The 13,205-nt window shown below is 47.1% G+C and overlaps 1 protein-coding gene across 2 annotated transcripts in view, besides 1 other annotated feature; it reads left to right on the top strand.

The window, feature by feature from the left end:
• Positions 1 to 13,205, top strand: part of HIVEP3 (HIVEP zinc finger 3) — a 529,570-nt gene that overhangs the window by 339,535 nt on the left and 176,830 nt on the right. The window lies entirely within an intron of this gene.
• Positions 5,354 to 5,854: an enhancer, noted in NCBI's record as "H3K4me1 hESC enhancer chr1:42156217-42156717 (GRCh37/hg19 assembly coordinates)". NCBI's record gives its function as "activates a minimal SCP1, AML or CMV promoter by ChIP-STARR-seq in primed H9 embryonic stem cells {active_cell/tissue: H9 hESC(primed)}" and the evidence as "EXISTENCE:reporter gene assay evidence [ECO:0000049][PMID:30033119]".

Below are 13,205 nucleotides of genomic sequence, written 5' to 3'. Positions count from 1 at the left end.
CTCTTAGAGAACAAGCCAGCTCCCTGTTCCTTCTCCCACCAGGAAGGGGCTGCTGTTGATGTTCGTGGCCCAGCAGGCTGCGCCCCGTGGGCAGGTGGCCCACCAAACACACGGGAGATTGCTTCTCTGGATGGGGTCATGTTTTGACAGGATAGTCTTTGACTGGAGCTGGAACAGCTGAGAGAGACTTCCCAAGACATTGCAGGCTGTGGGGCATCTGAAATGCCCTCAGGGGTGTGGACTGGTCTTCAGGAGTCTCACCCTCATGCCTCACATTTGTCAAGTAGGTACAAATATACAGTGCCATTTGATACCCCATTTTGTCCTGAAGACGGCCCTGTGTATTAGGTGGCAGTATTCCTGTCTGATAGATGAGGAAACCGAGGTTGAGATGGGGAAGTCATTTGCTGGAGGTCACACAGCAAGATGGTGGCAGGGACTTGACCGTGGATGTGGGTCTCTCACTCCAAGCCCAGGGCTCTTCCCATTCATCAGCCCCATAGGTAAGTGGCTCATCCAGGCCCATAGCCATCTGCTGTGATTCCTTACGTTGGGATTATTTGTCCAAAATGGAAACACTTTAATTTTCACCTGAGAAAGAATTCACGTTTATTGAAAACGAATATACCTAGTTGGTCTGTTTCTAAAGCACAAATCTAACCATGGCAGGCTCTTGCTTCAGAATGTAGGGCATTTCTCTCTGCCCACAGGATGAAGCCCATATGCCCTCACCTGACATCCAACCTCCACAGTCTGCAGCCGGCTGACCCCCCAAATCTGGGCACCCTCAGCATTAGAGATCTCTACTGTGGCTCTTGGGCAGGGTTGGGGGTTTTCCTTGTGATTCACCTCCTGATTGGAATGGAGCTGCATGAAGCAGGAGGCTTGTAGGCTGCTCATCCCCATGTCCCTGGGGCCTACACTGGGCCAGGCACAAAGTCAAGTCCAGTAAATGTATTGGCCCCCAACCCATGGTCCTCCATGAGAAACCTGAGCTCTAATCCAGACTTAGAAATAAGCTGAGGCCTGCCCAGCTACTGCCAGCCTGATAAGGAAGTGGCTGCTTGGCAGCACTCCCAGGATGGAACTGCAGGGCTGTCTAAAAGCCACAACCCCCTGGGCAAGCAAGGAGGAGGACTCTGGAGGGCCATCTCCAGATAGGTACTGGAGACCAACACCCCGCCTCCATGGCGAGTCCACCACCTCCCCCATACCTCCACTCCCCAGTCCCATAGCAACAATAATGCCTGTGTGATGTGCCCCCTGCCTGACAGTAGCTCTTTGACCCAAGCTCTTTAGGAATGATTTATAGAAGCGGCATCATACAGCTTTGGGGGAAACAAGTTTTCTAGGGACTGTCTTGGTTTAGTGACAGCAGGACCCTTGCTCTTTGACTCTGTATAGCATTCCCCTCTGGGCCACAGCCCCTCAACCTCCCAGACTCTGGTGGTCTGGAGGTTATTATAGGAGAGGCGAGGTTTTTAGAGTCCCACAGCCCTGACTTCAGCAGGCCCTACCACTTACTAGGTAGGGTTACATCTCTCTGAGACTCAGTTTCCTCATTTGCAAAATGAGACTAGTGATCCCAACTTTCAGGGTGTTGTATCTTATTGGTAAAAGTCTAGCTCAGCGACAGGCACATGGTGAATAATTGTGTTCCTTCTCCTGGAGGCCTTTTAGGGCCTGAGAGCCTGCCTGAGAAGTGCCCTGTTGCTTGGTGAGGATGGCAGTCTCTGAGGACAGGTGTTGGGGCATGTTGCACATGACACGCAGTCTAGTAGTGAGCCACTTCTCTCATTCTGACACGTTCTTGGAGATTTAGCCAAGGACAAATATTTTGTTTTCTAATGAAAGCCTATGAAAGAGGGTTTTTGTAATCGATTTGTTTCATTTCACAATTAGCTTTCCAGGAGGATGTCTTTCATTCACTTGTTCATTCATTCATTCACCCGGCAAATATCTCCAGAGCCCCGACAACCTGCCAGGTGTGGTAGGAAATGTATAAATAGGCCATGCAAGGAACCTGCCTTCAAGGAGCTCACTGTCTAAGCAGTAATTATAATTTTGGGTAAAAAGGTCGGGTGGGGCATGCAAAAGGCCGAGTGCTGAGTGGGGAGAGATTAGAAAAGACTCTTGCAGGGCTGAGTAGAAAAGCTTTCATCAAGAAGGTGGTACCAAAATAAGGCAGTTAGAAAGCATAGAGGGAAAAAGACTTCATTCTCCAAAGAAATAAAAGCATAAAATTATGAAGAGTCAACTGAAGAAGGTATTATAAATTGTTCTATAAATAAAATTGAATCTCGAAATCCCAAAAAAAATTTTTCATAAAATGTTTACAAAGTACATCTGGAAAAATAAACATGGATGAATGGCCTAGAAAAAAAATCAGTGTTGGTACAGAAATAGACCTGTGGCTCAAGGAACAGAGAGCCCAGAAGTAGATATCAGTGTACGTGAGGATTGGTATGTGAATGCATGGCATTGATAATTAGAGATGAAAATGCAGGTGATTCCTGATGTGTTCTAAAGACAACCAACGAGCTATTTGTATGGAGGAGAGGGAATACAACTGGCTCCCTACCTCAGTTCCTACACCAAAATAAATTCCAAGGAGATTAAAAAACATGAAACCATAATGATACTAAAAGAAAGACAACGAGGGAATATTTGTGTCATACCGGAATGACGAATGCCTCCTTACGTGTAATATCAAATCCAGAAACTGTGAAGGAAAACAATTAAAAACCCTATGGGCAAACACCCCACCCCACAACAATCAGGTTAAAGGATGATAACAAACTAAGAAAAGTATTTCAACATAGGCATGATGGGTAAAAGGTTAGCAGCACTAATACCCAAAGAGCTCTTGTAAGTGAAGTATTAGATAAAGACAAATTGCCAGCGGAAAAATGGGCAGAGGCTATGAACAAGCAATTCATAAATGACAAAATACAGAGGATACAAAGCATGTGAAGAGTCATCACCCAGGGGCAAAGGAGACACATTAAACAATCAAAGTGTCCTTTGGGGGCCATTTCAAAGAATGAAAATACTTGGGGAAATGCAGAATGAGAAACAGGAACACTGGAGCACTGTTTAGTGGGTCACGAATTGATACACATTTTCTGGAGGGGAGATTATATATTGATACTTTCAAATGTCCCCACCTTTCAACTCAGTAGTTCACTTCTAAACAAGTATCCTAAAGTGCCCAAGGTTTATGTGTGTAGGAAAGCAGCAGAGCATTAGTTAAGAGTGTGGAGTCTGAGATCAGAGAGACCTTGTTTCAAGCCACCTGGCCCTGGAAAAGTTCCTTAACATCTCTAAGCATCAAAGTCCTCATCTGCAAAGTGGGCATAATAATACCACTTTCATAGGCTTGTGGCAAAGCTTAAATGAGATAACACTTATAAAACTCTTAGCAGAGGGTTGGGCCCCTACTAAGTGCTGAATAAATGCTAGCTCTTTTATTATTACCAATAAGGATGTTCATCATAGTATTGTTTGTAATAGCAAATAATGGGAAGCAACCAAATTGTCCATCAATAGGGAGCTACTGGTTATTCATTACAGAGACGTGCACAGTGATGCAGCCATCTGAGGACCTGTATTTATGAAAATGGAAAGATGCCTTTGACATATTAACATGATTTTTTAAAGTATCAAAAGGGTATGGAACGTCCATTCCAAATTGCACAGAAGCGTACATCCATATATATAGAAAGATGTCACTGATTCTTGTTATTCATAGTAGTTATGTTCTATAAAGTCCTCACAAACACAGAATTAGCAAATACTGAACTGTTGCTCCTAGGAGAACTACAGCATAAGATTCCTGTGAGCCTCTGGTTACAATGTTTTTCTCAGCTGATCAGTGTATAACCTTGTGTTATGTGTATTTCTGTTTTAAGATACCTTATTTAACATAGATTGTTGATTCATTAATATTGAACTCAGGGCCAGTGGCGCTATAACTCCTCTCTGAACAAAGCTTACCTAACATGGCATTTCCTCTGTAAGGCACACAGTAGCTCCCCTGTGCTTGGGAACACCAGAAAGCACTTCAGCACTGTACTTGGAGGCCATTTGAAAAAGTAAAATCACCAAACAAAAAGTGCAAAACTGCGAAAACTGTCCATAGTGTCCTTTTCGTGGACACTTGTTTACCATATGGGATCTGAAACTAGAAGGCAGAAGGTCGCCTCATTCAGCCTCATCTGGGAACACGCACATTAGGCAACTCAAAATTTTCACCACACTGGGCGCAGTGGCTCGCGCCTGTAATCCCAGCACTTTGGGAGGCTGAGACAGGTGGATCACTTGAGGTCAGGAGTTCAAGACCAGCCTGGCCAACATGGTGAAACCGTGTCTCTACTAAAATACAAAAATTATCTGGGCATGGTGGCGCAGGCCTGTAATCCCAGCTACTCGAAAGGCTGAGGCAGGAGAATCACTTGAACCCGGGAGGCGGAGGTTACAGATACAATGAGACTCCATCTCAAAAAAAAAAAAAAAATTCACCACTCTGCACACCCACAAGTGACTATGAATGTAAGTATTGATTTGGAGGTTACAAATAAATTTGATCAAGTACATAAATTTGCAAATACAGAATCTATGAATAAAGAGGATCAACTGTATCTAAAAAGATAGTGTCTTCATTCATTCAGGCTGCTATAACAAAATACCATAAACTGAGTGGCTTAGAAAAACAGAAATCTATTTCTTACAGTTCTCAAGGCTGGGAAATTCAAGATCAAGGCAGATTCGTGATCTGATGAGGCTCTACTGTCTGATTCATAGGTGTTACCTTTTTGCTGTGTTCTCAAATGGTAGAGAGGATGAGAAGTCTTTCTTTGGCCTCTTTTATAAGGGCACTAATCCCGTTCATGAAGATTCTGTCCCCAGAACCTAATCACCTCCCAAAGGCCCCACCTCCTAATACTATCACCTTGATGGTCAGGATTTCAACATATGAATTTTGGAGGGATACATACATTCAGGCCATAGCAGATGGTCATGTCAGTAGTTATCTGAGTCAGGATTTAAGGGGAGGATTTTTTTCTCTTCTTCTTTATACTGATAATGCTTTAACTTTTTACAGTAGGTACATATGATATGATCAGTCAAAGCAATAAAGCTATTTTCAATTTAGAAGGAAAACTTGTTATTGATGGCACTCCATTTCAAGATAAAAATCCATATTCTTTAGAATAATATAGTTAACACTTTTATGTATTGCTTGCTATGTGCCACACAGACTTCTAAGCCCTTGACATATATTAATTCATGTAATGGAGTCTTTTCACCAAGAAGCTCCATGAGATAGACTCTAGTATTATCCCCATTTTATAGCCGAGGCAAAGAGAGGTCAGATAACTTGCCCAAGGTCACAGTGAGTAAGGGGCAGAGCCCAGATTTGAACCCAGGAAGTCTGGCTCCAAAATCCATGCTTTCTTTTTTTTGTTTGTTTTTGTTTTTGAGATGGAGTTTCACTCTTGTCACCCAGGCTGGAGTGCAATGGAGCGATCTCGGCTCATTGCAACCTCCTCCTCCTGGGTTCAAGCGATTCTCCTGCCTCAGCCTCCCGAGTAGCTGGGATTACAGGTGCCCACCACCATGCCTGGCTAATTTTTGTATTTTTAGTAGAGACAGCGTTTCACCATGTTGGCCAGGCTGGTCTCGAACTCCCGACCTCAGGTGATCCATCTGCCTCGGCCTCCCAAAGTGCTGGGATTACAGGTGTAAGCCACCGTGCCGGGCCAGAATCCATGCTTTCAGCCAACAATATGTAAGTGTACTCAGTCCCAAGCCTGGCACAGGGCTCTGGAGATGCTCAGGAGGATCTGACCAGGCTCCTGGCCCAAGGCACTTCCGGTCTAGGTTGAAGGCAGTGGCAAGGGTGCACCAGGCACTTCAGGCTCGTGGAAGCGGGGTGCTCCCCATCCCAGCCTGAGGACTCAGAGAAGGCATTGCTAGCCCAGCATTCAGTGTCCCCACAATCTCCTGCCCTTCTTTCTCACTTCCTGTCAGGCACACCCTTCCACCAGGGTGCCCCTGCCACACCCAGCCATCCCCTGCCCCTTGAGCCAGCCATGTTTCTCAGACAAGGCTCAGCTCAAATGCCATCTTCTTTCTCCAGCCATCAGGAAGAAGCATGGGCTCCTTCCCCAACCTCCCAACACCTGATTCCTCTCTGTTTTGGAACTTTATGGTTATTGTCTTTCTACTCACCTGTCCACACTCCCCTGCCATAAGCTGGTGTCAGAAACCATTTTTTCCCAGCACCCAAAACAATCCTCACACATGTTATCCAGCAATACAAGTGTATTGAATGAATAAATGAACAAATGTGGAAATATCTAAGATCTGAGACTCCCAAGGACCTAGGCACACGGGATTGTGGCAAAGTAGTTGTTGAAGGCTGCCAAGGCCCCGGAGGACCGTGGAAGGCTGAGCTGTCTGGCTAGAAGCCTCTGTGACCACGGGACTGGGAGGCGGAGCCGACAGGCTGCAAGGCCAACATTAGCCAGGGTGTTGTTTCTGTGGCTTCTGAAGCACCCCCACCCTAGTGGGAAAGACTAAGAAAGGTCCCATTCAACTTGTCTTGGCACTTCTAAGGGAAAGGATGGGGTTTGGATTAGCTGGGCCAGGGACATCTTTTCTAAAATAGCTTCATGCATATTCAGCTGCTCCCTGAAATAGTCGGGCGGCTATTTTCAGCAGCTTCTACTCAGATGCCCACACATAATGGCCTCTACCTTGAGCATGTAAACCAGTAGGAAGCAAAGCAAAGGGTACAGGAGGACAGTGTCAGAAGGCTTTTCATGGCTTCCTACCACTCCTCCCAAGCCCTTGGTGTGTTTTTCCTCCCAGGGACTCTCTCCCGTGAAATGGAAAGTCCTGGTTACTATGACAACTTGCTGGAGGAGGTTTCCCCACCAGTGACCCTACCCACCCGGATCCCAGAAAGCACAGACTCACCAGGGCAGCCGTAACTTGAGGCACAACCTCCAAACACTAAGTTGGCGAGTTCACTCCCGAGAGAGCCCCTCAGCGCCTATTCCCTCGTGGTTTGCACACAGTTCTAACAGGTGCCCTGTGGAGGCCGAGGGAGGCCAGTGAAAGGTGGGACCCTACCAGCAGGGGGTTGAGGTCACAACAGACAATCTAGCTGGAAGGGTAGAGAGAGAACCACTCTACCAGGAAAACATTTATTTGCAAATACCTACGGAAACATCAATACGTACCTTGTGCTGTTTGCTGGGGAAACAAAGATAAATAAGACTCAGTTCATGAAATGAATCGGTAAGTAAACACTTGTAAGTGTCTTTCTCTAAACTGTAACTTTATTCTCCCAAAAAGATTTTTTTTAGAAGTTGGAAATACAGTGTCCTAAGTGCTGAGGTTAAGGTGAGGACGCGGGATTCCCAGGGGAAGGAAATGGGCTCTCTGAGGAGGCTGGGAGGTGAGCTTGAGCAGAGAGGTAAGAGCTTTCTTGTGAGACAAGCAGGTGGTGGCCTGTGTTCCAGGTGGCCAGCACAGCACACATGAAGCAACAGAGGCAAAAAAAAAAAACAGATCCGTTTGGGGAACTCCCAGCTCAGGATGTCTGGAGCATGGTGCCGAGGAGGAGGCAGAATGATCAGAGGAGAGGTGGCGGAGCCACATCACCGGGGCCTTGGAGGTGCTTCTCTGTCAGAAGAGTTCCCTGGGACCATTGTGTGTTTGGACGGATTCCTACCCACCCTAGTCCACCTAAGGTCTCCCTATGTTACAGTGTAGAACAATGATTAGAAAAAAATGAGATTGTGTTAAAAGTTTCACAGTGGGAGTTGTGACTTTAAGAATGAGTTAAGTGTTCATTCCACCTTCCCTGGAGATGTATCAAAAATTAAAATGAACTGGGAGGCCAGAAACCTGGATCCCAGAAAGAGGGCTGGGGAGGGACCGATGTGGGGGCTCTGGGCCTCAGCCAGGTCAGCCATATGACCAGAAAAAGTGATTGCTTACATTTTATACATCTGAATTTACGTTCATTCTCTTGCCCCATAGCCATCCAGGAAAAGAGTCCTGTTTTGTTCAGGACACCCTGAGAAAGACAGGGAAGTGTGCTTTGATACCTTTTAGGACGATAGTCACCCAGAGGGGCCAGAGGAGAGCAACAGAAGGGGTCAGAGGAGAACAACAGAAGGGGTCAGACGAGAGGAACTGAAGAAGATCGGCTTGGCTATCTGGAGGTCACCTGTCAAGCACACCCTGACCCCATATCACTTCCCAGTTGGCTTCTTTGAAGGTGTCAGGAACTATCAACAAGAACCGTGGTGCCCACAGGCACATGCATCTTTCTGCTCTGTTCATCCCCCATCGTTCCTCCATCTGCACTCAGCCTCTTTATTTATTTGTTCATTCATTCATTCATTCATCTGGAGCTGTGGCTGGGAAATTGTTGGCTTAGATAATGGTTTCTTCACTGAATTTTCAAGGATCTGTGAAACCCCTAAAATGATAAGAAAATGAGTACATATCTCATGTTCATTTTCTGATAGCTCATAGCTTTCAGCAGATTCTCAAAGGAGCCAGTGACCCAAAAAAGGTTAAAAACCACTGACAGATATGGGAATTGTTTTATTTTAAAACAAATGATTTCACCTTTTGGTAGATAAGCAGGGTGAGGGAGCATGGAGTGAAATTCCCAGTTCTGCACTGAGCTTTCTCAGATGATGAAGGGGCACCGGGGACTCTGTCATTGCTCCCAGCATCGCCGTGCACCTAAGTGTGTGCGTTTGCTGCAGCTGGGCCAGGCCCAGAGGCCTTCAGAGCACAGAGAGAGGAGAGCAAGATCCATTACCTAAGACTGCTCTGTTTCTCTCCCTTCCCAACTACAGCCTCTCTGCGAGGTCCCTCTCCAGCCTGCATGTGGCAGAGCATGATGAAGCCCTCTTGGTTTGGAGAGATGTGGAAAGCTGGAAGAAATCTGAGAAAGGAGAGGCACATAGGCTGGAGTTGCAGAGGTCTGGATATTAAATGAGGCTTTGAAGAGAAGGGGCAGCTAAAGTTTAGTGATTAGCTCTAAAAGTCAGGTTATGTCATCTTGGCTGGAAAACCCCCCATAGCTTCCTGTCTCTGAGTGAAATTCAGAAGTTGCATAAATGCCTTCACAGCCCCAGTGATTTTCTTGCCCCCATATCCTCTGGACTGTGTACTGTTCTACAAACTCTGGCCTCAGGGCCTTTGCACTTACTGTTTCCTCTGTTAGGAAGCATATGCACATGGCCCATCCCTCACTTCCTTTGGGTCTTTACTTAAATGTCCCTTTCTCAGTGAAGCCTTCTCTGGTCCCCTACTTAACATGGCAGCACCTCCTACTGCCACCACCCCCATTCCGTGTTCCCTTTTTCTGCTTCACCTTTCTTGATAGCACTCAGGACCAGCCCACATGCCACTGGCTGTATATTGTGCCCAGTGCCTGGACCAGGGCCTGGTCCATAGTAGATGCTAAATGATTATTTGTGGAGTGAATGAATCCATTCTTACCATGCTCCTGTGTTTATATATTGTAATCTCATGCTGCTCCTCTGATAACTCTGCAGGGTGGATTTTATTATTCTCCCTTTTCACAGATGAGAACCAGGGACTCATAGCAGCTAGAACTGCTTCCTGGGTTCTGGGGTCTCAGAACTGCTGTCTGTTTATACTCCATCCCCACCCCCAGAAGGCTTGATACTGTCTTCACCAGGACTCCTTGACCCATAAAAGAGGCTGGGCTTTTGCATGGTTCCAGTCAGTACTTAGAAGTACACAGCACACTCTCACAATCCAGCTATGTCCAGGCTTGATATGTCCTGGAAGTGGTCAGGCATGTAAACTCATCAACGGCAAAGTCAAGGAGAAAAGAAGACAACTGTACGGGGCTTTTGATGGATTCCTACTCCTTGCTTTCTCCCCATTGTGTATCTTGAACATCGATGGGCCCATTGTTCTGGAGGAGATTACTTAAGTGGTGACTTTGAAAATACAGTCTATGGCCGGGTGTGGTGGCTCATGCCTGTAATCCCAGCACTTTGGGAGGCCAAGGTGGGAGGATCACTTGAGCCCAGGAATTCGAGACCAGCCTGGCCAACATGGTGAAACCCCATCTCTACTAAAAATACAAAAGAATTAGCCTGGCGTGGTGGTGTGTGCCTGTAGTCCCAGCTACTCGGGAGACTGAGGCATGAGAATCTCCTGAACCCAGGAGGTAGAGGTTGTAGTGGGCTGAGATTGCACCACTGCACTCCAGCCTGGGTGACAGAGTGAGACTCCATCTCAAAAAAAACAAAACAAAACAAAACAAAACAAACAAACAAACAAACAAAAAAACCACAGTCTAGAACCCAAAAGTAAACCCAGAATTCATCAAGACATGAGGCAACCCCCAAATGATAAGCCAGTCCATTTGCTGGTCAGATCCACTGGTGCCTGTTGTTTCCACTGTTACACACAGTTCCAACACACACCAGCCCCTGAGAGAGGGGGAGTTTGCAAGACAGAGAGGCGGGTTGGAGAGAGAACCATGCTACACATACCCCAAAGGTTCCTGGTGCTGGTTATTGAGAGTTACAAAGATGAGTATCACACAGAAGGTGCCTTAGGGAACTTACAATCCAGCAAAAGAAACAGACAGAAAACAAATAAGTTCAAGTATATTTATTTATTCAAACCCTGACTCTGTTCCAAAAAGGATTCAAGGTAGAAATCGGGTTTGTGATATAGTAAGTGCTACAGTTGAGGTGGGGACCTGGGTTCATGAGAGAAAGATGATCTCTTCCCGTGGGGAGTTGAGCTGGGCATGGGGGCAAAGCAGCATGGCCCACTTGGTGAGCTCCCAGGAGCCCATGTGGCTGGAGAGGGGGGTGAATGCCATCCATCCAAGGGATGTGCTGTGAGCCAGTCCAGTTCCCTTGAGGAACTTACAGTGCAGTGGAGGAAACAGGCAAGGAAACAAAGACTTGTACTGTATCTGCAGCCTCCCCGCCTTGCTCTCAAGGACCTGCTCTCAACATATAGAAAGCCACAAACTGAAGGGACCTGCAGCAATTCCTGTGGTGGCCAAGGCAGGTACTCCTACAGGCCCTGGTCCTCCTGGATCTCTGCCCTCAGGCTGCACTCGCAACAGTCCCAAAAGCATTTCTGTTTGGGGGAGTAGCACCTTGCATTCAAACAGCAAGGTACAGTTTGCAAAACACCATCACATCCGTCCTCTTGTGTGTTCCTCCAAGAAGAAGGCTGGGGGAGTGCCAATTTTTCAGTGTATGGATGGGACAGTGGGGGCTCAGAGACAAGTCTCATTCCTGAGAAGTGTCAGAGCCAGGACTGGAATCCAGGGAGAAGGAGAAGAGGCCCTGTCCACACAAGCACGTGGTGATAGGGCAAAAACAGGCACTTGACCATATAACAGTAAGAGAAGGTTCTGTAGCTGGTAGGAGAATATTTAGGCTCTGGAATCAGACAGAACCAGGTTCACGTCTGGCCATGAGCTGTGTGCCCTCACCTCACCAGTGAAAGAGAATAATGGTATCCACCTGGCAGGTTGTTGTGAAGATTAAATGAGAGGATGCATGTAAACACACCTAGCATAGTCAATGATGTCAAGAGCCAATGTGTCTTAAGTTCATGGTCTGCGGCTGGCCATTATCTCATCTAATCCTGCAAGCAACCTACAAAGTAGATACTGTTGCATGTAATCTCATTTTACAGATTAAAGAAACTGAGTTCAGGGAGGTTGATCAAAGCACCCATGGCCAGCAAGTGATGAAAACTGAAAACAGGCCCCAGAGCCCAGCTATTAAACATGAGGCAGTAATTACACCTCCTCTCATCTCACTGATGAACCTTCGGCCTGCACAGGTTCAGCCAGATGCCAGGTCTATGGAGGTGACTCCTGACCCCAGCAGGAGGGCAGCACCATGGGACTGTACAGCAGGGAGTCGCTGGAGACCCTGGAGAGGCCATGTGAGCTTGGCCTTGGAGGAAATGGTCAGCAGCTGCAGCCTTGGGAAGGAAGGGCTGGAAGGTCACTGGCACCAGGCAGAGCTGCATGGCCAAGGTGGTTGGTGGCTTTGGACTAACAAAGTGGTGACCTGGAATCCAGCAGGCTGGGCTTCCCTTTCCCACTTCCTTCCTCTGCTGCTTGTCTCGCTGAGTCACCTCCAGGAAGTCAGAGTGGTGAGGCAGACAGTGAGGAGACCTGGGTCCTCCCGCACCCCTGTCCCCACCTCCCCTCATGACCCTGGGTTAACCACTTCCCCTTGCTGGGGCTCAGTTTCCACATTTGTCAAAAGAGCAGACTTGATCTCAAGGTCAGGCAAAGGTCTTTTTTAAAGGCAGTGCTTTTGGAAGACAGGACAAAGGACCACACAGCTGCTAACCAATTAGGAACTGATAGTCATCTGAGCTCTGTAGCAACACCCTGCACCCCACACAACTTGCTGAGTTCCTCCATGGGTTATGAGGGTCACCAGCAGTGATAGGACCAGGAGGGTGGTGATGGGAAGAACCTCGAAGTGCTGGTATAGAGATGGCAGTGAGGGGCAGCACCACAGAGGGCTGCCTCCAGGTCCTGAGCCTCTTCTAACTTAGCTCTATCCTCTGCCAGGCTGCTTTGACTCATGCTCTTGAATTTTTACTGAGTCCTGGGCCCTAGTGAGAGTCCAAGAAGATGCTCCAGGATTTTCAGTGTAGGTAAAATCTCACGGGAAAACACACAGCCATTGTGGGCTTCCTCCCAGCCTCCAGCCATGGCCATACCAGCCCTGAGCCAGGCAATAACCCTTTCCTTTACTCAGACTCAAGAGAAGCTGTTTTTGCTGAAGTTCCAAACCTGTTTATAAAACTTATCCCTAAGGACTCCATATTCTGAAGTCACCGTGAACTCATCTCTGCAATGATTAATTGTTAGCACTTCACAGCTCCAGCTCTGAGATGCAAGGATGTCTGTGGCTAAGAGGAGTTCCCATCAGTGGTGAAGTGTTTGTTACAGGGCCTAGGGGGTTGCCTGGGTAAGGGATAGAATAGGATTATGTCATATGCCAGTGCCTTTTCCCACTTTGGGGTTGGTGGAAGGGAGCTCTGCATGAGGCACACGGACTGCAAATATAAGGCTCTTTTCCTACCAGCTGGGGTCCAGTTGGCTTAGTGTAGCTTTCAAGTCCTTCTTGATGTGG

This window comes from Homo sapiens, chromosome 1, assembly GCF_000001405.40.
Source record: "Homo sapiens chromosome 1, GRCh38.p14 Primary Assembly".
NCBI lineage: Eukaryota > Metazoa > Chordata > Mammalia > Primates > Hominidae > Homo > Homo sapiens.
This window is presented reverse-complemented; position numbering and strand designations above follow the sequence as displayed.